At 53.9% G+C, this 25,748-nt stretch overlaps 1 protein-coding gene and 1 long non-coding RNA gene across 21 annotated transcripts in view; both read right to left on the bottom strand.

Moving 5' to 3' along the window:
- GTF2IRD1 (GTF2I repeat domain containing 1) overlaps positions 1–25,748 on the bottom strand; it is a 148,700-nt gene that overhangs the window by 60,612 nt on the left and 62,340 nt on the right. For all 20 annotated transcript variants that reach the window (XM_047421058.1, NM_001199207.2, XM_047421064.1 and 17 more), the window contains exons 5-14: positions 23,672–23,855; positions 22,275–22,585; positions 20,697–20,786; positions 17,840–17,923; positions 12,077–12,260; positions 6,856–6,881; positions 5,719–5,827; positions 3,821–3,858; positions 3,234–3,314; positions 2,026–2,115 (exon numbers count right to left, since the gene is read on the bottom strand). In XM_047421058.1, the coding sequence (XP_047277014.1) occupies positions 2,026–2,115; positions 3,234–3,314; positions 3,821–3,858; positions 5,719–5,827; positions 6,856–6,881; positions 12,077–12,260; positions 17,840–17,923; positions 20,697–20,786; positions 22,275–22,585; positions 23,672–23,855 (1,197 nt within the window). The remainder of the gene's footprint in view (positions 1–2,025; positions 2,116–3,233; positions 3,315–3,820; positions 3,859–5,718; positions 5,828–6,855; positions 6,882–12,076; positions 12,261–17,839; positions 17,924–20,696; positions 20,787–22,274; positions 22,586–23,671; positions 23,856–25,748) is intronic.
- Positions 8,781–9,402, bottom strand: WBSCR23 (Williams-Beuren syndrome chromosome region 23). The gene has a single exon (XR_007060383.1). It is a non-coding gene; the product is annotated as a Williams-Beuren syndrome chromosome region 23 (long non-coding RNA).

Genomic DNA, 25,748 nt, shown 5'->3' with positions numbered 1-25,748 from the left:
CTCCTGAGTAGATGGGACTACACATAGGTCCTACCGTTCCTGTCTAATTTTTATCTATCTATCTATCTATCTATCTATCTATTTAGTTATTTTGAGGCAGAGCTTCGCTCTGTTGTCCAGGCTGGAGTGCAATGGCAAAATCTTGGCTCACTGCAACCTCTGCCTCCTGGGTTCAAGTGATTCTCCTGCTTCAGCCTCCTGAGTAGCTGGGACTACAGGCATGCGCCACCATGCCCAGCTAATTTTTGTATTTTTAGTAGAGAAGGGGGTTTCATCATGCTGGCCAGGCTGGTTTTGAACTCTGACCTCAAGTGATCTGCCCGCCTCAGCCTCCCAAAATGGTGAATTACAGTTGTAAGCCAATGCACCTGACCTATTTATTTATTTTAAGATAGGGTCTTACTCAGTGGCACCATCACGGCTCACCACAGCCTCAACCTCCTGGGCTCAATCAATCCTCCTACCTCAGCCTCCCAAGTAGCTGGAACTACAGGCACGCACCACCACACCCAACTAATTTCTGTATTTTTTGTAGAGATAGGGTTTCACCATGTTGCCCAGGCTGGTCTCAAGCTCCTGGGCTGAGGCAATCCTCCTGCCTTGGCCTCCCAAAGTGTTGAGATTATAGCTGTGAGACACTGTGTCAGTCAATTAAAAAAAAATCTTTTAGAGATGGAGTCTTGCTATGTTGCCCAGGCTGGTCTCGAACTCCTGGCCTCAAGCAGTACCCTCGCCTTGGCCTCCCAAAGTGCTGGAATTACAGGCGTGAGCCACCTCACCCTGCCTATTTTACTTATTTGCTTACTGTTTATCTCTCCGCACGAGGATGTGTACCCCAGCAGGTGGGGACACCTGTTTGGTCCACTGCTTTTTCCCCAGCCCCTTACGCAGGACCTAGTACATAGCAGGTGCTCAATAAATATTTGTTGAGGCAAGGTGTGGTGGCTCACGCCTGTAATCCCAGCACTTTGGGAGGCTGAGGCAGGAGGATCATTTGAGGTCAGGAGTTCGAGACCTGCCTGACCATCATGGTGAAACCCCGTCTCTACTAAAAATACAAAAAAATTAACCAGGCGTGGTGGCGGGCGCCTGTAATCCCAGCTACTCAGGAGAACTGCTTGAAGCCGGGAGGTGGAGGTTGCAGTGAGCTGAGATCGCGCCACTGCACTCCAGTCTGGGTGACAGAGTGAGGCTCCATCTCAAAAAATTTAAGAGATGGGTCTCTCTATGTTGCCCAGGCTGATCTTGAACTCCCAGCCTCAAGTAATCCCCTCACCTTGGGTTCCCAAAGTGCTGGGATTACAGGCACGAGCCACCTTACCCTGCCTATTTTACTTATTTGCGTACTATCCATCTATCTCTTCACATGAGGATGTGCACCCCAGGAGGTGGGGACTTCTGCTTGGTTCACTGCTTTGTCTCCAGCCCCTTACACAGGACCTGGTACACAACAGATGCTCAATAAATAGTTGTTGGATAAATGGACAAATTAATTCCAACAGGTGGCTCCTGGGAAGGACGCTGGGCCTTGTTATAAATGGAGCCTATGGCCAGGCACGGTGGCTCACGCCTGTAATCCCAGCACTTTGGGAGGCTGAGGCAGGTGGATCACCTGAGGTCGGGAGTTCAAGACCAGCCTGACCAACATAGCGAAAGCCCGCCTCTACTAAAAATACAAAATTAGCTAGGCATGGTGGCACATGCCTGTAATTCCAGCTACTCAGGAGGCTGAGGCAGGAGAATCACTTGAACCTGGGAGGCAGAGGTTGCGGTGAGCCGAGATCGTGCCACTGCACTCCAGCCTGGGCAACAAGAGTGAAACTCCGTCTCTAAATAAATAAATAGAGCCTACTTGAGGTTTCCAAAAGGAACCCAGCCTTGGATTAGGGTCAGGCATATATTGGGTTTCCTCTACTACAGACGGCTGACACCAAGAAACACCTGGGGACGGCCTGGCCCACCCCTTTCCCTTTGCTCCCTGGAGAGCTGAGTCCCAAGCACCACCAGCCCAGGTCCATTTCTTACCTGTCAGCATCTCCATCCCATAACCAGAATCCTCCGATGGCAGGTGCCCAGGCATCGAGTCTGTCATTTCCTCAGAGGTTGGCGAGGGGTCTGAAGACAAAACTCCGAATGACACGGGTATCTTCTGCCTGTCATACTCCTGTCACAGTCCCTCAGGGCCCACCCAGCCCAGTCTCCCCACAGACAAGGGTCCTTTTCTTTCTGTCTCTTTTTTTTTTTTGGTTTGAGATGGAGTCTCACTCTGTCGTCCAGGCAGGAGTGCAGTGGCGCCATCTTGGCTCACTGTAACCTCCGCCTCCCGGGTTCAAGCGATTCTCCTGCCTCAGCCTCCTGAGTAGCTGGGACTACAGGCGTGAGCCACCATGCCTGGCTTATTTTTGTATTTTTAGTAGAGATGGGGTTTCACTATGTTGGCCAGGCTGGTCTCTAACTCCTGACCTCAGGTGATGTGCCCGCCTCGGCCTCCCAAAGTGCTGGGATTATAGGCGTGAGCCACTGCGCCCAGTCATTTCTTTTTTTTTGAGATAGGGTCTCGCTCTGTTGCCCAGGCTGGAGTGCAGTGGTGGGATGACTGCTCACTGCAGCCTCCAACTCTTGGGCTCAAGTGATCCTCCTGCCCTAGCCTCCTGAGAAGCTACACCGACAGGCACACACCACCACATCTGGCTAATGTTTTGTATTTTTTGTGGAGATGTGGGTGTTGCTATGCTGCCCAGGCTGGTCTTGAACTCCTGGCCTCAAGCCATCCTCCCGTGTCAGCCACCCAAAATGCCAGGATTACAAGCATGAGCCACTGTGCCCAGCACCCTCTTGGCTTCTAACAGTCACCCCGTACTGAGGCTCCAGCGCCCAAATCTATCCTCTCCTCTGAAGATGTGGAAAATGAGGCTTGGCAGGGGGTAGGGTCAAACTCAGAGCCTCTCACACCCATGGCTTTTTCTTCTGTCCAGCCTCACAAATCCCAGGGAAGCCAAGCCAGGGAGGTGAAGTTTTGAGGGGACCTTCTGGAAGGTCAGAGCTGAGAACACTGATTCACAACGCAGGGGACAGATGTGGCCAGAAAAAGCATTCACAGTACCCCGATGGCTCTCAGAATCCACAGAGAGAAACAGCGGCCTGGAGGCCACTTCTTCACCAGGGCAGACCCTCAGGAGGCTAACGGTCCGGCCCTGATTTCTGCAGGGGGTGGTCAGATGCCCGTCCCTTACCTGGGACGGTGACCTGAATGATGTCCAGATCCTCTGGCTCAATTTTGATCGGCCTCAGCCCGCCCAGCTCCCCGGAGGTTCCTGCAAGGAGGAAAGGAAGAATCCTGTCAAGTCTGGCATGATCCCGACTGGGCAGAGTGACTCTTTCCAGAACATTCTGGTGTCTGTAACTTGTTAGTGAGGCCCTACCTAGGACAAGTCATGTCAGCCCCCTGGCTCCGCCCAAACTGGAATTGGAGGTCAGGGGAGCCCTCAGGCCAGGCTTAGGGGCTCCGATTTACAGACCCGGTGACTGAGGCCCCCCAGAGGGGAGGCTGCTGGTCCAAGAACCTGCAGCCTGGGTCTGGGCATCGACAGGAGGCAGTGGTGATGCCAGCACCCAGCTCTCCATGTCCCTGACCCCAGTAAGCTCCCAGCATGCCTTGCACCTCAGCTCTGCGAGGCCTAGTGGAGGCAGGTGGGCAGAGGAGGCTCGTTAGCACTCCAGGCTCATGGGCTGAGTTGAGCTCCTCCCCAAGGCTGCCGGGTAGGGCTGGTGGTTGCCCTCCCGGCCCACCACACACACAGCGGGCCCTGTTCCTTCTCACCTGGCCCACAGTCTTCAGACATGCTGCCCTTGTCTGACCTGTGAAGGGAAGCAGGAAATGACACCTGTCAGCCAAGTCCAGGGCCACCCTGCCCCAGCCTTGCCCCTCCAGGCAGTCAGGGCCCACCGCGGGCGCCACTGCAGAAGGCATCCCTGTCCCCATCGGCCCCTGGCCCTCCAGGATGGTGCTCCCCACCTCCACCAGGAAGACAGATTCCCCGTGTCTTGTCTCCAGGGACCACAATCTCCAGGGGTGGCCGAGCCAGGCACCTGCTCACTCTCCTGGGGTGAACCATCTGGGGATCCCCCTTCTTCACCATCTGGGAGCTCTGGGGATCCTAGGCTTGGCACACTGGGGGTTTGATCACTGCTTGTGGGGGACTGAGACCTGCAGGGCCTGGAAAGGGTTAAAAATCTGGGGAAGGGGCTGGGGAATGAAGGTGGCAGGAACCCTGGGACAGATGATTTGGTTAATTCCCTCCCTCCCAGGGAACTGCAGGGAGAGGCCTGATATGATGTGGGGATTCTGGGATAAACGGCCCACCCCTGCCCCTAAGAGGTCAGAATGTGCTTGGGGGGTGTTGGTGGATGGTAGCCAAGCTGAGTGCTGGGGGCAGGGTCTGGTGGGCACTCAGGACAGGCATCAGACCTGGTGTTGGTATGTATGTATGCATGTAGGTAGGTGTGTATGCATGTAGTAGGTATGTATGCATGTAGTAGGTATGTATACATGCATCCATGTTTTTTTTGTTTTTTTTTTTTGAGACGGAGTCTTGTTCTGTTGCCCAGGCTGGAGTGCAGTGGCACAATCTTGGCTCACTGCAACCTCCGCTTCCAGGGTTCAAGCGATTCTCCTGCCTCAACCTCCCGAGTGGCTGGGACTACAGGCATGCGCCGCTGCGCCTGGCTAATTTTTTTTGTATTTTTAGTAGAGACGGGGTTTTGCCATGTTGGCCAGGTTGGTTTCGAACTCCTGACCTCAGGTGATCTGCCTGGCTCAGCCTCGCAAAGTGCTGGGATTACAGGCGTGAGCCATCATGCCCAGCTGCATGTTTGTATTTTTGAAACAAGGTCTTTACTCTGTTGCCCAGGCTGGAGTGCAGTGGTGCGATCATAGCTCACTGCAGCCTTTACCTCCCAGGCTCAAGCAATCCTCCCATCTCAGCCTCCCAAGTAGCTGGGACCACAGGTACCAGCCACCACGCCCAGCTAACTTTTTATTTTTTGTAGAGACAAGGGTCTCACTATGTTGCCCAAGCTGGTCTCAAACTCCTGGGATCAAGAGATCCACCCACCTCAGCCTCCCAAAGCGCTGGGATTACAGGAGTGAGCCACCAAGTCCGGCCTGGTGTGGGCATGTATTTATTTTGAGATAGAGTCTTGCTCTGTCACCCAGACTGGAGTACAGTAGTGCAATCTCAGCTCACTGCAACCTCTCCCTCCCAGGTTCAAGCCATTCTCTTGCCTCAGCCTCCCGAGTAGCTGGGATTACACATGCGCACCACCACACCCGGCTAATTTTGTTTTTAGTAGAGATGGGAGTTTCACCATGTTGCCCAGGCTGGTCTCGAACTCCTGACCTCAAGAGATCCGCCCGCCTCGGCCTCCCAAAGTGCTGGGATTACAGGTGTGAGCCACCGCACCTGGCCTAGTGTGGGCATTTAGAGGCTTCTGAGAGAGGTGACATCTGGCTAGATGTTGGGGGCGGGAGAGTTCTCTATGTGAGAGTTCTCTAGGCAGAGGGAAGTAGGTGGAGTCTGTTTTCCCTTGCCCTCCCTTTGCACCTTCGAGGGGTGGTGGTGTGGTGGGAGCCGCCCTGGGTACCCCCTTGCAGGTAACACTGCCTCAGCCCAGAGCAGGGCTGGCCGCGGGCCTCCGGGGCCAGGGGCGGGGCCTCACCGAGCATTCCCAGCAAGGTCAAGGACGGTGGCCCTAGAGACCTCTGCAGAGGTGTCCTCTGGCGGGCTGGCTGGCTCCAGCTTCGTGGTGTCTTTGGTAAACTTGTTCCCTGTGGGGAGAGTCAGGGAGGTCAGGGTGAAGGCCCTCTGGCCTCCTCTTGCTGCAGAGCCCCTGGGTAAAGGTCTGTGTGTGAAGCTGGGGGAATCCCGGGGATAGGGCCTGGCCTCTGCCTGTCCTTGTGGGCGCCACGTCCAGCCAACAGCCAGGAACGGGTCCTGGGGAGAGACTCTGACGCCAGAAGGAGGAACAGCAGCCCTAGTGCCAGAGGTGGCCAGAGATTTGGGAGAGCAAGGGGCAGGAGGAATGGGAGGCAGCAACCAGAGATGGTTCTCCTGCCCTCCAACACACTATGGGGGCTGAGCCCTCAGAAAAGGGCCGGGGCTTCCCCATGGCTGCATCACAAGACCAGGCTCTCATGTCATCGTGCCAGGAGCCCAGAGGAAGGCGCCCTTATCCTCATCTCACAGACGTGGACACTGAAGCCCACAAGACCTTGCCCAAAGTCACACAGCTGGTGGGAGGCGGGACCGGAACTGGGGTGCCAGGATCACCCCAAGAACCGTGATGCTTTTGCTACCCCGGGAAGAGCCCGCATCTTCCTCCTGGGACAGGTGTGCTGGCCCACGGGCCACTGCATGGGCTCTGGAGTCACACTGCTGGGCATGCAGCAGGGACCCGTGCTCACCAGCTGGGCTTCCGTTCCTCTGTCTGCACGTGAGAGTAGTGGAGTGGAGCCACCTTCATAGGATTGTTGGAATCAGATTAAAATAAAATATGCTGGCAGCTTCAAAGAGAGCCTGGCACAGGCTCAGGTTCACCAACCTGGCACCGGTTAGCGTCCAGCTTTAGTACTCTCTGTCCAGGGCATTTGAAGCTGGGAGGGGTTGTCCTGACAGTCTGTCAGCACCTAGAAGCCTGGGACCCATTTCTGTCCCAGGACACAGAAACCACAGCCCAGCCTCCCTCCCTGCCTGAGGGGAGGCGCTCAGGAGGACCAAGTCCAGGGTGGTGGCAGCTCGGGTTCTGTTGGGGAACCAATCCGGAAACTTCAGAATGGACTAGATGGTCCCCACATACCTGTGAAAATTCGCTCATCAAACATCCTGGGGAGAGAAGAGAGACAGGCATGAGAACAGTGCAGGCTGGAGGACTCTCCCAGGGCTCGGGGAGATGCCTCCAGTCCCCTTTGGTGATGGTCACTGAGTGACACATGCACAGCTACAGACCTGGGCATCCGGCAGACATGCAGGCAGGAGAGGGCATGTCTGGAACCTCAGAACATCCCAAACCGTTTATTTTTATTTTTATTTTTGGAGACAGAGTCTCACTTTGTCGCCCAGGCTGGAGTGCAGTGGTGCGATCTTGGCTCACGGCAACCTCCGCCTCCAGGGTTCAAGCGATTCTTCTGCCTCAGCCTCCTGAGTAGCTGGGACTACAGACGTGCACCACCATGCCCTGCTAATTGTTGTACTTTAATCTAATTAATTAATTAACTTTTTTTTTGAGATGGAGTCTTGCTCTGTCGCCCAGGCTGGAGTGCAGTGGCGCGATCTCAGCAGGGGAGTGGGGTCTCTCAGCGTGAAAACAGGAGTCATTGTCAGCCTCGCTCCCCCAGCTCTGCCTCCCATGACTGGCGTTTTTGGTTCTATTCTAATTTCCTGCTGGGTTCCCCATGAACCTCCGCCTCCCGGGTTCAAGGGATTCTCCTCCCTCAGCCTCCTGAGTAGCTGGGATTACAGGCGTGTGCAACCACACCCAGCTAATTTCTGTATTTTTAGTAGAGATGGGGTTTCACCATGTTGGCCAGGCTGGTCTCGAACTCCTGACTTGAGGTGATCCACCTGCCTCAGCCTCCCAAAGTGCTGGGATTACAGGCGTGACCCACGGCACCCAGCCTATCCCAAACCATTTTTGCACAGTTAGGGAAAGCATGGGCCAACCCCTGGGGCGGTCTTGGAGGGTCTAATCTGCTCACAACTCCCTGGGGGCCTCTTCTGGCCCCAGGTGAGTGACTCAAGCCCATTTCCCACCAGCACCTACTCTGAATGACTTATTCGTTTATCCTGAGGGCTTTTGCCCAACTTCTCCTGCATCTTACTCAGTGACAGGCACAGGACGGCACAGAGCAGAGCTGCCAACCGATCGTGGCAGCACAAGGTGAACCGTGGGATCCTTTTTTTTTTTTTTGAGTTGGGGTCTTGCTCTATCACCCAGGCTGGAGTGCAGTGGTGCAATCATAGCTCACTGCAGACTTGAACTCCTGGGTTCAAGCGATCCTCCTACCTCAACCTCCCAAGTAGCTGGGACTATAGGCATGCGCCACCAATGCCAGCTAAGTTTTAAATTTTTTTGTAGAGACAGGGTCTTACTGTGTTGTCCACATTGAACTCCTGACCTCAAGTGATCCTCCTGCCTCAGCCTCCCAGAGCGCTGGGATTACAGACAAGAGCCACTGTGCCTGGCCTTGTGGGACCCTTCACAGGTGTCTTAGAAATCAAGGGGGCCCAAGCAGTGAGCGGCCAGCCCTTCCCTTAGGGAGGGAAGCAGGAGAGACTTTGCAGGAGAGAGAGCAGTGAGCTAGGTGAGGTGACTGGAGGCTGGAGGTGGAGGTGCACGGCCTTCAGTGCTGTCCTCAGGCACCTGGCCTCTACCCTGTGGGCAACAGGTGCCCCAATGGTCATGACAAGGTCAGATTATCAGAGAATGTATTGGAGGAGGGGAGGCTGGGCACCCAGGGGCCCATTTAGGGACCCAAGTCATCCAGGTAAGATGCATGGAACCAGCCGGGCGTGGTGGCTCAAGCCTATAATCCCAGTACTTTGGGAAGCCCAGGCAGGTGGATCACCTGAGGTCAGGAGTTTGAGACCAGCCTGGCCAACATGGTGAAACCCCGTCTCTACTAAAAATACAAAAACTAGCCAGGTGTGGTGGTGCATGCCTGTAATCCCAGCTACTTGGGAGGCGGAGGCAGGAGAATTGCTTGAACCTGAGAGGCGGAGGTTTCAGTGAGCCGACATAGCACCACTGCACTCCAGCCTGGGCAATAGAGTGAGACTCCATCTGAAAAAAAAAAAAAAAAAAATGATGCATGGAACCTCTAGCCAGGAAAATGAGGATGAAATAAAGGTCTGAGAGTCTGAGAGGGCGGGGCTGGGCTCACACACTCTCCTGCCTCCAGGACTGGAGTTCTGGCATTCTTTCCCTTCTAACCTCAGCCCCACCAGGGTGGTGCCTGGTGGTGGGTCAGGGGCCCTCAGGCAGCTGATTATGGAGGTACAGCTTCCCTGCCATGGAGTGGCTGGACCACGGACAGAGCCTTGGGCTCTAGGGGGAATGTAGGAGGAAAGAAGGGATGTCCCAGCCTGCATACCTGACAATGTCCAAGGGAGGACCCAGCAGGAAATTAAAACAGAGGCAAAAACACCAGTCCTGGGAGGCAGAGCCGGGGGTGCAAGGCTGACGGTGACTTCTGTTTTCACGCTGGAGGCCCCACTCCCCTGCCACTCCTGAAGGCCCCCACACATCTGGATCCACAGGCCCAGAGGCAGCCTCAGGGAATAATTTTGGGGGAAAACTGGCTTCCTTTCTGAGGCCTGCTTCCTCAGCCCCACCCAGTGATGGAGACACAGTCAGCATTGGTTGTCGTTTTATTATTGTTTTCAGAGATAGGGTCTGGCTCTGTCGCCCAGGCTGGAGTGCAGTGGCGTGATCATAGCTCACTGCAGCCTCCAATTCCTGGGCTCAAGTGATCCTCCTCCGTCAGCCTCCTCAGTAGCTAGGACTACAGGTGCATACCACCAGGCCTGGCTATTTATTTTATTTTTTGTAGAAATAGGGTCTCACTATATTGCCCAGGTTGGTCTCAAACTCCTGGCCTCAAGTGATCCTCCTGTCTCAGCCTTTCCAAGTGCTAGGATTACAAGTGTAAGCCACTGTGCCCAGCCTGCAGTTTTATTATTTACAGTTTTATTTATTTATCAGGGAGAACAGGGTCGGGGAGATGTGGGTTCGAGACAGCATCAGGGACTTACACCATTCCCTGGGGGGGCATTGGGGGTGGAGGCAGATGTCAGGGAGCGGTCAGATGCCCTCACGGGCTGCCCGGACTGGAAGGCCCACATGATAGGCACTGACCAAGGGGTCGCTGGCCAGCCTCTAAGCACAGTTCTGAGTTCTAGAAATCTTCTCCAGATACTTTCTCCTCCTAAGTTCTGGCTTAGCTAGAACCAATATATCTGCCCCTGAGGTGTGAACCCACAGCCCTGGGGGATTCTATTGTATCCCAGTAGGAATACAGACATGAGAAGTAGGAGGCCAGAACTTGGCATGAGTTGGGGTTGGGGCAGAGGTGGGGGGCAGAGAGCTGTACCACCAATAACAAGACCCTCAGGCCTTGTAGAAAGCACTTCTGACTCCCAGATGGTGCATACCCTGCAGATACCTGGGCCAGGGCAGAGACTCTACCTCCTGGCTCCCCCCACTTTTTTTTTTTCTTTTTGGAGATGGGGTCTTGCTACGTTGGCCAGGCTGGTCTTGAACTCCTAGGCTCAAGTGATCCGCCTACCTTGGCCTCCTAAAGTGCTGGGATTACAGGCCGTAAGCCACTGTGCTCAGCCCCTGGCTCCTTTTTAAGCCCTCCTCTCCTGACTCACTTTTGCCAGCATGATCTCAGATGGTTAAATGATGAGGCTGGGGTGTGTAATAGAAAAAAGTGTACTTGGAGGCTCTGAAGCTGTAGCCACTGTTCTAAGCATTTCATCCACATCTGGTAATTTACTCTCCGATCAACACTATGAGGCATGGACAATTATCAGGCCTGGTTATTCTATGTTTAATTTATTTATTTAGAGATGGATTCTCGCTGTCACCCAGGCTGGAGTGCAGTTGTGCCATCTTGGCTCACTGCAATCTCTGTCGCCCGAATTCAAGCCATTCTCATGCCTCAGCCTCCCGAGTAGCTGGGACTACAGGCGTGCGCCACCACACCTGGCTAATTTTTGTATGTTTAGTAGAGACGGAGTTTCACCATGTTGGCCGGGCTGGTCTCAAACTCTTGACCTCAGGTGATCCACTCATCCTGGCCTCCCAAAGTGCTGGGATTACAGGCGTAATCCAGGCCACCATGCCTGGCCTATTTTTTATTTTTTGAGATGGGGTGTCACTCTGTCACCCAGGCTGGAGTGCAGTGGCACGATCATAGCTCACTGCAGTCTCGAACTCCTGTGGTCAAGTGATCCTCCCATCTCAGCCTCCAAGTAGCTGGGACTACAGGTACCTGCCACCATGCCTGGCTAACTTTTTAAATATTTTGCAGAGATGGGGTCTCGCCATGTTGCCTGGGCTGGTATCAGGCCTGGTTTATGTAAATGAGGCACAGAGTGGTTAAGTAACTTGCCCAAGGACGCCCAGGTCGGAAATGTCTTCAGGTGCACCGATGCACTTAATGATGTTTTAATTCACAAGGGAAATAAGGACAATGAAAAAACACCTCATGCTTATTAAACATCTGCTACATGTCAGGTGTGTTTCATCCACTTTTTCATTTTATGTTAGGAAAACTTGGGTCGGGGGGGCCATCATTGTCCCTTCCCCCCACCCCTGCCGCCTTTTTTTTTTTTTTTTTTTTTTTAAGAAACAGGGCCTTGCTCTGACACTCAGGCTATGCAGGCCTGGGCAATATAGCAAGATCCCATCTCTATTCAAAAAAAAAAAAAAAAAAAAATTACAAAGTGCCTGATTAGGCCAGACACCGTGCCTGCATTTTCCATTCAATCCTCAAAAGGCCCAGAAGGAATAGGCCACACAGCTACACAAGGAGCTATAACAGAATTCTCTCTCAGACTCGTCTTATTCTCTGTGTTAAGTTAGAGAACCCATTCATTCTGCCCCTGCCCCATCATTGCCTCCCCAGGCCCCTGCTTAGCCCACATGCCCCAAAACCCGGAGCCCAAGCCAAGCCCGGAGCAGAAGGCCAGACCCCTACGCCCACCCGCACCTCTCTTTTTTGAGACAGAGTCTCACTTTGTCACCCAGGCTGGAGTGCAGTGGCATGATCTTGGCTCATTGCAACCTCTGCCTCCCGGGTTCAAGAGATTCTCCTGCCTCAGCGTCCCAAGTAGCTGGGATTACAGGCACCCACCACCACACCTGGCTAATTTTTGTATTGTTAATAGAGACGGGGTTTTGCCATGTTGACCAGGCTGGTCTCGAACTCCTGGCCTCAAGCGATCTGCCTGCCTTGGCCTCCCAAAGTGCTGGGATTACAGGCATGAGCCACTGCGCCCAGCCCCACCCGCACCTCTTAATGATGAAGTGGATACTATGGCGCTCCTCCAGGATCCGCTTCAGCTTGGGGACTCCATAAGTGCAGGGGCGCTTGAAGGGGATCTTGTCCGGGATGCCCACGATCTCCACAGCCTCCGGGTCACAGGCAATCTTCCGGTAGGGCACGGGGACCATGTGGTCCAGGCCCAGGGCTTCCGCTGGAAAGACAACCAAACAGCAAGGCTGAGTGTTAGACAGGCTGCTGGACACACAGGACCCGGGAGCTGCGGTCCCCATCACCTCCCACCGTCCCCACTCCACTCTGGCCATGTAGCGGCCAGAGGGATCCTGCAGAAATGTCAAAATCATATCACTTTTCTGTTAGGAAATTGGCTGGGCTGGGTGCGGTGACTCATGCCTGTAATTCCAGCACTCCGGGAGGCTGAGGTGGACAGATGGCTTGAGCCCAGGAGTTCAAGACCAGCCTGGACAACACAGCAAGACCCCATCTCTGCAGAAAGTAAAATACAAAAAGCTAGGTGTGGTGGTGCACGCCTGTGGTCCCAGCTACTCGGGAGGCTGAGGTGGGAGAATCACTTGAGCCTAGGAGTTCGAAGCTGCAGTGAGCCAAGATCATGCCACTGCACTCCAGCCTGGGCAACAGAGTGAGACCCTGTCTCAAAAAATAAAAATAAAAAATGTCCAGTGGCTCCCATCTCATTTGGTGACAGCCAAAGTCCTACGTATGTGACTTCATCACCTCTGGCCTCATCTGCCCCCTTCATGCCTCTGTGTGCTCCCCCTACCCCTGCCGCCCCCTTGGTGCTTCCCCTACAGGCCAGGAGCATACACTCGGTTCAATGCCTTTGTACCTGCTCTTCTGTCTGCTCAGATCCCTTTCTCCTAGAAATCCATAAACATCCATCCATCAGTCCGTCTATCCATCCATCCATCCATCCGTCTATCCATCCATCCATCCATCCATCCATCCATCCATCCATCCATCCACCCATCCACCCGGTTGTCCGTCCATCCATCCATCCATCCATCCATCCATCCATCCATCCATCCATCCATCCATCTGCCCATTCATCCATCCATCCTTTCATCCATCCATCCATCCATCCATCCATCCATCCATCCATCCACCCACCCACCCACCCGGCTGTATATCCATCTGCCCATCCATCCATTCATCCATCCATCCATCCATCCATCCATCCATCCATCCATCCATCCATCCACCCATCTTTCCTTCCCTCCCTCCCTCCCTCCCTCCTTTCAGGTGTTTGCTCAAATAGCACTTTGGCAGCCTAACACAGCCTCCTCCATCCCTCATTCCCTCCCCTGCTGTGTCTGTCATCCACTGGTCATCACCTGACACTACATCCACACTCATCTCTATGTGTACTGTCTAGAAAGGAAGCTGCATAAGAACAGGGGTTTTGGCCAGGTGCAGTGGCTCATGCCTGTCATCCCAGCACTTTGGAAGGCTACAGTTGTTGGGAAATGCTTGAGCCCAGGAGTTCAAGACCAGCCTGGGCAACACAGTAAGAAGCCATCTCTATAAAAATACAAAAAATTAGCCGGGCTTGGGCCTGTAGTCCCAGCTACTTGGCAGGCTGATGCTGGAGGATCGCTTGAGTCCAGGAGTTCGAAGATGCAGTGAGCTGTGATTGCACCACTACACTCCAGCCTGGGTGACAGAGCGAGACTGTCTGAAAAAGAGTAGGGGTTTTGTTTTCTGCCTTGCCACTGCGACCTCAATGGGGCTGGGCACACACTAAGTGCTTTCTGCATAGTGAATATACAAATGGCTAAAGGAAGTGCCCAAGCTTGAGATTAGCTCCTGGCAGGCGAGTAGTTGCACAGGTGAGCACAGGTGTGTGCCTTCTTCCAGGGAGGAGCTTGGCACGCCCTTCATTCACCAGCGCCATAAACAAAACACACCCCAGAAGCTGACGGCTCTGCCAACAGCCAAGCAGACAGAATCCAGGCTCATGCCCAGGCTACTTGCTCTGTTTTCCCAGACTTGTGCCATTTCAGTCATTCACTTCGACCCCAGCTACACGTTTTCATTAATTCATTCATCAAATACTTTTTTTTTTTCCCTGATGGAGTCTTGCTCTGTTGCCCAGGCTGGAGTGCAGCGGCACAATCTTGGCTCACTGCAAACTCCCTGACTGGGTTCAAGCAATTCTCCTGCCTCAGCCTCCCGAGTAGCTGGGATTACAGGCGTGTGCCACCACGCCCAGCTAATTTTTGTATTTTTAGTAGAGTCAGGGTTTCACCATGTTGGCCAGGCTGGTTTTGAACTCCTGACCTCAGGTGATCCGCCTGCCTTGGCCTCCCAAAGTGCTGGGATTAAAGGAGTGAACCACAGTCCCCGGCCCCACACCAAATACTTTTTAAGCACCTACTATGTTCCTAATACAAGCTGGTACTTTCTTTCTTTCTTTTTCAGAGACAGGGTCTTGCTAACAGCCCAGGCTGAAGTGCAGTGGCATAATCATTGCTCACTGCAGCCTCGACTTCTGGCTAAAGTCATCCTCCTACCTCAGCCTTTTGAGTAGCTAGGACTACAGGCATGTGTTACCATGCCCAGCTATTTACTTTTTTATTTTTTGAAGAGACGGGGTCTTGCTATGTTGCCCAGACTGATCTTGAACTCCTGGGCTCAAGTGATCCTCTTGCCTCAGCTTCCCAAAGTGCTAAGATTACAGGCATGAGCCACCGCTCCTGGCCTTAAGCAAGTACTTTCATGGGTCACCCTTCCCCTGACCTGAGTATCCACTTCACTCTTGCCTCCCCGTATGACCATGGACGGGGCCTCGATACACTGTCCTCCCTCCAGGCTCCCATATCTCCTGGCTGTTCCTCAGGCCCCTCCCTGTCCTAGCCCTGCTTCTCTGGCCACACTATGCTTTGTCTGTGTTCCTGTAAGTGCCAGCCCAGAGCTGGACCTCCCTCCAGCCCTGCTTGGGCCCTCCCTTGGGTGCCTCTGACACTGTTTTCCTGTTGATGCAGCGGCCCAGGTCTGCGTTGGCGGCTTTGGCATCCAGATCCCACTGAGATGTCACACTTAGCTCGTTGTCAAATGAAACCTTCGAAATCTCAACAGCTGGCAAAGCATCTCTCCCCACTTCCCCCCCACCTCCCACATCAGCAGCCACCCCCAGCCCCAGCCCTTGAGCAATTGGTCCTTTGAGTGCCTGTGAATTTGTCTCCGTCTGGTTCATCTGGTTTATTGGGGCTTGTCTTTTCAGCACTGGGGAGATTCAGTGGACAGAGGGCCAACCCCCGAACCCTGCTGTTGCCCCTTGGGAAGGGGCTGCCTTCATGCAGTGCCACCATGCACCCTCCTCGGCCCCTCACCTGGTCCCAGCATCATCCCAGAGGACATGTCCTCGAGACTTCCTGAAGCCTAATGTTTCCCCCAATTCTAATTTTTCTGTTTCTTCCTCCTTTGTACCACCCACACTGTCACTGGCCCAATTCACCCAGATTTGGTGGCTGGTAGAGCTGGGAGCAGGGTTTGCTCACCCACGACCAGTGGAATGCCTTGGGCTGCCAGACCCCGTCCCCACCACCCGTGGGGTCCCCAGTACTGGGCAGCTGCCTTCTCCCCCACGCAGCTCCCCAGAGGGAGCTCCGGCTTTATGGGGAACAAGATCTTGACCACTCCACACCCAACACTCTTTGGATGTGACTCAGGAACTGACATTTGGAAAAGGCTTGGCATTTTGGAAAGTCCAGAGCGTGGGACAGGCCAGAACACTGGCCTGGGCAGAACCCTCCCAAGGCAGGCAGAGCCGGCTCCTCCCTGGTTCCCCTCCCCCAACCTCCGCCTGGCTCACACCTGCCTGGGGCGGGGAGAGACTCAGGGGCAGGTGCAGACAGCCCTTTGCAGCTCTGAGGAGTGAGGAGGCGTGGCTGGGCCAGGGTGGCCACATCAAAGGTAGCTGGCTATCCCAGGCTCCTCACTAAGGCCTCCAGAGTCTTGTTCAGCCCCATGTCAATGTGGAAGGTCCAGCCCACACGCAGAGGCTGCCCCAGACGTGGTCACAAGACACCTCGTCCATGAAGCCACCCCTGACTTCCCAGCCTATTGAGACTGTTTCTTCCTTGGAATTATCCTCCCTTCTTTTTTTTTTCTTTTTAAATTCTTTCCTTAATGATTTTCTTTTCTTTTTTTGAGAGAAAGTCTCACTCTGTCACCCAGGCTGGAGTGCAGTGGCGTGATCTCGGCCCACTGCAACCTCTGCCTCCCGGGTTCAAGTGATTCTTCTGCCTCAGCCTCCCAAAGTAGCTAAGATTACAGGTGCATGCCACCATGCCACGCCCAGTTAATTTTTGTATTTTTGTAGAGACGGGGTTTCACCATGTTGGCCAGGCTGGTCTCGAACTCTCGAGCTCAAGTGATTCACCTGCCTCGGCCTCCCAAAGTGCTGGGATGACAGGCATGAGCCACAGCGCCTACCACTTGTGTTTTCTTTCCAGAGTGCGGTGGGCTGACATCTGCTATGAGCCTGACTCTGTCCTGGGTGCTAGGGACAAAGAGAGGGGTTGGGTGCAGTCCTGGCCCTCAGGGAGACAGCGGCAGGCAGGGGGCGTCAAGTTCCCAATGTGTCACAGAGAGGGAACCATCAGGGTACCCAGGCCTACCTGGCCCAGGCTGGGGACCCAAAGGCTTCCTAGAGGAGGTGACTCCCAAGACGAGTCTCAAAGAACAATTAGGAATTTGTCCCTAAAATGTGAAAAGACTGTGCCAGACAGAGGGCACAGCACAGGTAAAGCTGGGAGGTGGGAAATGGTGTGTTACTGTGGGGGACTTGCACATGAGGCCAACAGAGATTTTTCTGGGCCTTATGGATAGTTCCCCTGATGGGCAATCTGTTTTGTTTGTTTTTTTGTAGAGATAGGGTCTCGCTCTGTCACCCAGGCTGGAGTGCAGGGGTACAATCGTAGCTCACTGTAGCCTCAACCTTCTGGACTCAAGCAATCCTCCCACCTCAGCCTGCAAGTAGCTAAGACCACAGGTGTGTGGTTAATTTTTTAATTTTTAATTTGTATTTATTTATATTTTTTGAGACAGAGTCTCACTGTGTCACCAGGCTGAAGTGCAATGCCACGATCTCGACTCACTGCAACCTGCACCTCCTAGGTTCCAGTGATTCTGGTGCCTCAGGATCTGAGTAACTGGGATTACAGGCGTGTATTACCACACCCAGTTAATTTTTGTATTTTTAGTAGAGACAGGGTTCTGGCATGTTGGCCAGGCTGGCCTTGAACTCCTGACCTCAGGTGATCCGCCTGCCTCTGCCTCCCAAAGTGCTGGGATTACAGGCATGAGCCACTGCACCCAGCCTAGTTAAAAAATTTGTTTTTGTAGAGATGGGAGGTCTCACTGTGTTGGTCAGGCTGGTCTTGAACTCCCGGCCTCAGGTGATCCTCCCACCGTGGCCTCCCAAAGTGCTGGGATGACAGGCATGAGCCACTGCGCCCGGCCCCCAGATGGGTAATCTCTGCCCCCAACCTGTCCCGCTCCCCGCCACTGAGCCCAGGTCTGGGGCTTTGCCATCAGTTCCGCCCCCTGAAGAATCTGGAAGGGAAATATTGACACAACCACCCCCTACCCAGACAGGAGGAGCCCGCGACGGATGACATTAGCGGTGCCGGCGCGCGGGAGCCAGCATATGGCTCCCGCTGCCGTGTTGGGGAACACGAGTGATTGCCACGTAATGAGATGCTCAACACGGCTGCTGGGGCCACACGGCGGGCCGCGCCGCCCACTCACCATATCTGCTGTTAAACAGGATCTGCACACACTCCCGGAGCGTGTTGATGTCCTCGGTTTCCTTTATGAAGGCGTCCCACTTCTCTATCAAAACACAGGAGGCACAAGTGAGCAGGGCCCCACGGGACGGTCACACGCCCTCCACCGGCCATGACCACCGGGCTTTCACCCCCAGAGCCCCCGAGGCCGGCCCCAGCCCCCAGTCCTTCCACCCTCTCCCACCTCGGACCATACACGAATTCAGGGTGCTCTGATGGTCCCCCGTCTGCCCGTTCCTGCCCTAACATTTGTCTCTGGCCTCTCCCACGGGTGTGGTGTCAGAACAGGCTCAGCCTGTCCATCCCGAGCCCATCCTGCCCCAGACATACAGGAGGCTGGAAGAGCAGTCCCTTCAGCAGAAAAAGAGGTCGAGTCTTATGTTTTTTTTTTTCCTTTAGATGGTGACTCACTCTGTCACCCAGGCTGGAGTGCAGTGGCGTGGTCTCAGCTCACTGCAACCTCTGCCTCCCAGGTTCAAGCGATTCTCCTGCCTCAGCCTCCCAAGTAGCTGGGATTACAGGGCACCTGCCACCACACCTGGCTTATTTTTGTATTTTTAGTAGAGATGGGGTTTCACCATGTTGGCCAGGCTGGTGTCGAACTCCTGACCTCAGGTGATCCACCCGCCTTGGCCTCCCAAAGTGCTGGGATTACAGGTGTGAGCCACCAAGTCCGGCCTGAGGTCGAGTATTTTATTTTTTAATTTAAATTTTTTTAAAAAAATAGAGACAGGGTCTCACTCTGTTGCCCAGGCTGGACTGCAGTGGTGCAATCATAGCTCACTGTAGCCTTGAACTCCTGGGCTCACGTGATCCCTCTGCCTCGGCCCCCCAGGCAGCTGGGATGACAGGTATGAGCCAACACTCCTGGCTGTGTTTTTTCCTTTTTTCTTTTTTACAGACAGGGTCTCACTCTGTTGCCCAGGCTGGAGTGCTGTGGTGTGATCATAGCTCACAGCAGCCTCCAACTCTTGGACTCAAACGATCCTCCCATTTCAGCCTCCTGAGTGGCTGCGACTACAGGTGCCTACCACCATGTCTGGCTAAGGGCTGAGTCTTGATCTTGAGAATCTAACCCTTGTACCTCCTACATCTGAGGTCTCACTCAGCACTGGCCTTGTTGGCTTCCCCCAAACTCTCAGCTCTGCTGGTCTCTCTCTCAAAACCTCTGTCTTGATTGAATAATAACAAGTGATCATTGGTTCATTTATAATCAGTAAAAGTAACAACTTTAACTTGTTAAGTGCTTATCTGTGCTAAGTACTTTATATATATAATAATATCCTATTTAATTCCTTATGACAAGTTTTAAACAGAGATATTAGTCCCATTTTGCAGATAGGAAAACTGAGGCTCAAAGAAACTGAGTATCTTGCTTGTGATAACCCAGTGAGATTCTATCCCAGCTTGTGTCCCTGGCCCATGGGCCTGTCATGATACTGTTCCATCTGGACATTCACATCTCCTCCCTGCCAGGGCTGGACCTTGTTTGGGGCAGTGACAGGTTGGGTTGTTGTTGGGGGGGAGGGTCCTCCATTCTGATCCCAGGGGACTGGGTTTTCTTTCTTTCTTAAAATTTTGTAGAGATGGGGTCTCACTAAGTTGCCCAGGCTGGTCTAGAACTTCTGGCCTCAAGCCATCCTCCCACCTTAGCCTCCCAAAGCACTGGGATTACAGGTGTGAGTCACCGCACCTGGCCTAGGACTGGGTTTTCTTACAGAACCTTTTCCTGGAGGTGAGGCTGAGGCCCTCAAAGCAAAACTGCTGGCAAGTCCTACTGCATTCCTTCTTGGTATAACTGAATCCCAAACTTTCCTACACTCAGGCCTTCTGTGTGATACTTTAAAAATCTGTCCACTTTTTTTTTTTTTTAAATATATCACTGCCTTTAAAAGGTGGAGTTTAATTCCTCTCCCACAGAGGGAAGGCTGGATCATGTTTCTGGCTTCTAACAGATAGAATATGACAGCAATTTCTAAGGATGGGTCATAAAAGCCACGTGGCTTCCTCGTTCCTCTCTTTTGGATCAATAACTCTGGAGGAAACCAGTGGCCATGTTGTGAGGATGCTCAAGCAGCCCCGTCAAGGCTAGCCCACATGGTGGGGGACTGAGGCCTCCTACGAACAGCCGTGTGAATGAGCTCAGAAGCGTCTCCTCCCGCCCCAGTTGAGCTCTTGGATGACAGCAGCCCCAGCCAACATTTTGACTGCATCCTCATGAAAGACCCTGACCGAGCACTGCCCAACTCGGCCAGTCCCGAATTCCCAACCCCCAGAAACTGTGAGGTAATAAACACTTGATGTTTTAAGCTCCATTTTGGGGTTATTTATTTTATTTTTTGTTACAACTTTTTTTAGAGATAGGGTCTAACTGTTGCCCGGGCTGGAGTGCAGTGGTGCGATCACAGCTCACTGCAGCCTCCAACTCCTGGGCTCAAGTGATCCTCCCACCACAGTCTCCCAAGTAGCTGGGACTACGGGTAGGCACCACCACATCCACTAATTTTTCTTATTTTTTGTAGAGACAGCATTTCGCTACATTGCCCAGGCTGGTCTCAAACTCCTGGTTTCAAGCAACCCTCCTGCCTCAGCCTCCCAAAGTGCTGGGATTACAGGCATGAGACACCATGCCTAGTTTGGGGTAGTTTATCACACAGCAATAGATAACTATTACACCCCAGTTTACTTGCAGCCCCTTGAGCAGAGCTGTTCCTCCTTTCTTTCACAAAGACCCAGGAGATACACTTCCATTTCAATAAGCACCACCTCCAACCTCAGATTCCCACTCAGGCCGGGGTGCTTCGTGGGCGCTGTCCTACCTGACTTGTCATGGACGATGGAGAAGAGAATGCGCTTGGAGGCATGGACGTTCTGGATGAGAGGCCCACCAGGCCCAGTGGGCTTCTGTCCTGGACAAGGGAGAGAAGGAAGAAGGTTCCAGGTGGGACCCAAGAGGGTTCCCCAGATCTGGCCCCAGTGCACAGGCCCTGGCTCTGGGGTAACAGCCTCATCTGCCAGGGACATCCAATAACTGATTCCTGTGATCACAAACTCAAGGCAAGGCCCCTGACCAGAGGTCTAAGACATTCTGCACCAGAATCTGCTAGCCGAAAGCCAGGTTAACAAGAAAGGGATGTCGGAGGTTACCTTTTCCAGGTAAGAACACTTGTTTTACATGTATAAGTTCGAAGCCCTGGTCAGCCCACATATTTGGGCTTTTTTCCCCCTTATAATAATAATAATAATAATAATAATAATAATAATAATAATAATAGTATATATAACTTACAAGCACCTACTACAGGCCAAGCATTAGACCCAAACGCTTTTTTTTTTTTTTTTTTTTTGGTAGAGATAGGATCTTGCTATGTTACCCAGGCTGGTCTCGAACTCCTGGGCTCAAGCAATCCTTCCACCTCAGCCTCCCAAAGAGCTGGAATTACAGGTATGCCTGGCAAGACCCAGCGCTTTAATTCAGCAACTCTCAAACTTGAGCACATTGGAACCACTTGGCAGAGTTATCCAAAAAGACTACCGGGTCCCATCCCCAAAGCTTCAGATTCAGCAAGACTGCAGTGGTGCCTGAGAATATGCATTTCTAACCCTCTCTCAGGAGATGCTACTGCCACCGATCTGTCATTTAATCATGATAACACTTCTGGGAAGCAGGTACCACTAGCATCCCCATTTTATAGAGGAAGAAACTGAGGCTCAGAGAGTAGAGATTTGCCCCAGGATGCCTAGCCACTAAGTAGAGGAGCCAGGATATGAATCCAGGTGCTCCTCACCTGCAGTTGTTCCTTTTGTCCTGTTCACCCCAGGACCTACTTCCAGGACCTACTTCCCCCAGTGCCCTTAATCAGGCTGGGTATGCAGTGGGTGCTCATTCAGTTGGAATGGGTCCTCATGGAATGCATGAGGATGACTAGTATGCTTACTTCCTTTATAGCACGTGATGTGGATCTCCCACCTTTGACACCTGAAATATCGCTGGTGCTTTTTTTTTTTTTTTTTTTTTTTTTTTTTTGAGACAGAGCTGTGCTGTCACCCAGGCTGGAGTGCAGAGGTGTGCAATCATAGCTCAATGCAGCCTCAAACTCCTGGGCTCAGGTGATCCTCCTGCCTCAGCCTCCCGAGTAGCTGGGACCCAGGGAGTCCTCGCAGGCGTCCTCTTAGTCCAAGGCCAAGGACATCATTCACAGATGGCTGAGCAGAGACCCAAGGTCCAAGGGGGTCTCAGCCAGGACACCATCTGTCCAGTCCCACTCCCATGCCCAGACATGGCTCCTTCCAACCTAAGAGGGCCCAGGCATCCTGACCTGCCCTGGGAGGCTGTCCCCTGCATGAGTGACCTCTGTCCCACCCCCTAGACTTGGAGATCCCAGCAGCAATGTTACCACAACAGTCGGAGAAGTCTTGGGCACCGGTGGCCTTGGGCTCTGGCATGGGCCGACTCAGGCCCAGGTCGCTGGGGGCAAGGGGGCAGGAAGGTGCTTCCTGCTTGAGCTCTCGGATGGCGTGGTTGGGGAGCGCCGTGCTGTACAGGAAGCTGGCCATGGAGGAGGAGGTGGCGGTTGGGGGCAGGTCCTGGGGTGGCACCTTGGGGGCCTGGCCATGCAGGCCACAGTCCCGTGACCCCTTGGGAATCAGGGAGACACCGTTCAGCTCCACCAGGGCCTTCGAGTCCCGCCCGCCATCCTCAAGTGGCCTGAGTAAAGGAGAGGACACATGGACAGCTTTGTACATCTGTTTCACACATTGCAGCTCTTCCCCCGAAAACCCCGCATCCCTGCCCTCTGCAGAACATAACAGCCCCATGAGGAGGGCAGGACAGGAGCTGCTCTTCCACTTCACAAGTGGGGATGCAGGCTCGGAGGTGGGAATGGTGTGCCCAGGGCCACAGAGCTAGGCCACCGGAGGACCTGGGCCCTGCCCCTCTGCTCCAATCCACTGTTCAGATCCCGCCAGGTGCGGTTGATTGCCTCCTGTCTCCTGCTGCACCCCTCCCCTTCCTGCCTCTGCATTGCCTGGGGCACTTAGCAGAGATGGGTTCAACCTTAAGCCCTCAGGCTGCCTTCTTGGCTCTCCTGACAACTGGTACTGCCTCAGACCAGCCTCAACAACCTAATCTCCCCTGGATCCCTAATTAACCCCAGATTTACAACCTGAGCAAGCACAGGACATGGTTCTCCCGTTTCTGACACCTAAAATGCCATATTTTTTTTTTAAGAGATGGGGTCTTGCTCTGTTGCCCATGCTGGAGTGCAGTGACGCAATCACAGCTCACTGCATCCTCAAACTCCTGGGCTCAAGCAAGCCTCCTGCCTCAGCCTCCTGAACAGCTGAGATGACAGGTGTGCACCACCACACCTGGGTAATTTTTTTTATTTTTATTTTTTGGCAGAGACAGGGTCTTGGTATGTTGCCCAGGCTGGTCTTGAACTCCTGGCCTCAAGTGATCCTCCCACCTCAGCCTCCCAAAGTGCTGAGATTACAGGCATGAGCTACTGTACCCGACCACTTTGGTGCTATTTTGTCCCAAGTCATGTCTCTTCAAGTCTCTCTGCAATGCAACTTCCCTGGGAAGACTTCAAGGCTTAATGACCTGGCTCAGATCCTGTTCTATGACTTCGCTTTCACTTCACCTCCACCATCAGACTGGGAGCTTTCACCACCAGGGTCCCCCACGGGCATCTCAAGTCCCTTCCCCTCTGGCTAAGTGGCCTCCAGCCCCCGGCCCTGACCCGGCCCTGGCCCAGCCCCAGCCCAGCCCCGGGCCGGCTACCTCACTCACCTCTTGAGCTTGAAGCGGATGCGGTGGCTGTGTTCCAGGATGGCCATGAGGGCCTTGGGGTCATACTCGGCTGGCCTTCGGAAGGCCAGGCCTTCGGGCAGCCCCTGCACGGCCAGCAGCCCTGGCTCCCTGAGCAGCCTCTCATAGGGCAGTGGCACCACACTGGCCCTTCCCAGGGCCTCGCCTGTAGGGGAGAGTCCAGGAGAGGGGCCTGGTATGAGAGGGCAGCCAGGCTGGGGTCGGGGCTGCTGTGCCCCAGAGTGGGGGCAGTGCTGAGTGGCTCCCCTTGGTGCGGGGTTCCCATGGACCCCTCATAACTGCAGACTTTGTGCAGAATAACCGCCTGCAGGCTGGGGGTGGGTGGTGTGGACAAGGCCCAATTGTCTGCATCTGGGGGGCTGGGGCTCCCCCACCAAGCAGGTTCCCTGCTGCCCTCCCCGACCAAGCCCCTCTCCACTCTGGGCACCTGGCTGGAGGGGAAATCGGGGACTCAAGGGCCCAGAGGACAGAGCAGAGGCAGACAATCCGGTAGGAGAAAAGAGGGCAGAAGAGACGGAGAAGTGGGGACTTGCATGAGCCAGGCTGCAAGGAAAAAGCTATAAGGGCTGGGCGTGGTGGCTCACGCCTGTCATCCCAGCATTTTGGGAGGCTGAGGAGGGAGGATCACTTGAGGCCAGGAGTTCGAGACCAGCCTGGCCAACATGATGAAACCCCGTCTCTACTAAAAATACAAAAATTAGCTGGGTGTGGTGGTGCATGCCTGTAATCCCAGCTACTTGGGAGGCTGAGGCAGGAGAATCGCTTGAACCCGGGAGGTGGGTTGCAGTGAGCCGCTGCACTCCAGCCTGGGTAACAGAACGAGAATCCATCTCAAAAAAAAAAAAAAAAAAAAAAAGGTGTAGGGAGGAAGGGAGAGAGACCGAGAGGGGGGAGAGAAAGTAAGAAGAAGAGGAAGTGGAGAGGGAGCAAAAATAGGGGATTGAGAAAAAGATGGGAGAGGCTGGGCGTGGTGGCTCACGCCTGTAATCCCAGCACTTTGGGATTACCGAGGCAGGTGGATCACTTGAGGTCAGGAGTTTGAGACCAGCCTGGCCAACATGGTGAAACCCCGTCTCTACTAAAAATATAAAAATTATCCAGGTGTGGTGGCAGGTGCCTGTAATCCCAGCTACTCAGGAGGCTGAGGCAGGAGAATTGCTTGAACCCAGGAGGGGGAGGTTGTAATGAGCCGAGATCATGCCATTGCACTCCAGCCTGGGCAACAGAGTGAAACTTCATCTCAAAACAACAACAACAACAACAACAACAACAACAACAACAAAGACAGGAGAGAGGAGAAAGAGACAGACTGAGAAGACGCAGGAACAAAGATGGGGGCTCGGGGGCACAGAGGAGGGGAGGCAGGCTGGGGACTGAGGACTGGGCACTGGGATATCTGTTGTCACCTCCATGCTACAGCCCCCACCCTGAGCCAGAAAGAGGCCCATCCTCTCATAGCCTCCTTGAATTCTGCCCAAAGTGGACAAGGGGGGCCAGGGCAAGGCGGGCAGGGGCGCGGGGCCCTGCAGCTGGCAAAAGTGTCGACAGAGGCACAGCCAACCATGCGTGGCAAGTCCCCCATCCCAGGGTGGCCAGTGTGACCACCCAGGGCCTCTGGGTACCCCTCCTTCTGACATAAGAACAGCAGAAGTTTCCTCACAGACCTTTGCTCCATAAAACCAAAGGCTACAGTAGGAGAAGGGATAAAGCCAAATCAGAAATGAATGAGGTGGGACCCTGAGCACCAAAGGGACCTGCCCGATGTTTCCCAGGGCGTGTGAAGACCACCACTGGGGCCCTGAGGCCCTCTGCAACCTGACGCTTCCCAAGGGAGGCCAGGTCTCCTCTTCCTGCAGGAAAGACATGGCTGAGCAATCAGCCTTCACTTAGTCATTCAACAAACATTCTCCAAGCACCTGCTGTTGCTGGGCTCTGAACTGTAGGCTGGAGACAGCTAGAAAGGGCAGACACAGCCCCTGACTCTGGAGAGCTCTTGGGCTGGAGAGGGGACAGGGCACTGTGGGTGCCAAGAGAGGGG

The sequence above is a fragment of the Homo sapiens genome, chromosome 7 (genome assembly GCF_000001405.40).
Source record: "Homo sapiens chromosome 7, GRCh38.p14 Primary Assembly".
NCBI classification, from domain to species: Eukaryota; Metazoa; Chordata; class Mammalia; order Primates; family Hominidae; genus Homo; species Homo sapiens.
Note: the sequence above shows the minus strand (reverse complement) of the source record. Positions and strands in the feature narration are given on the sequence as shown.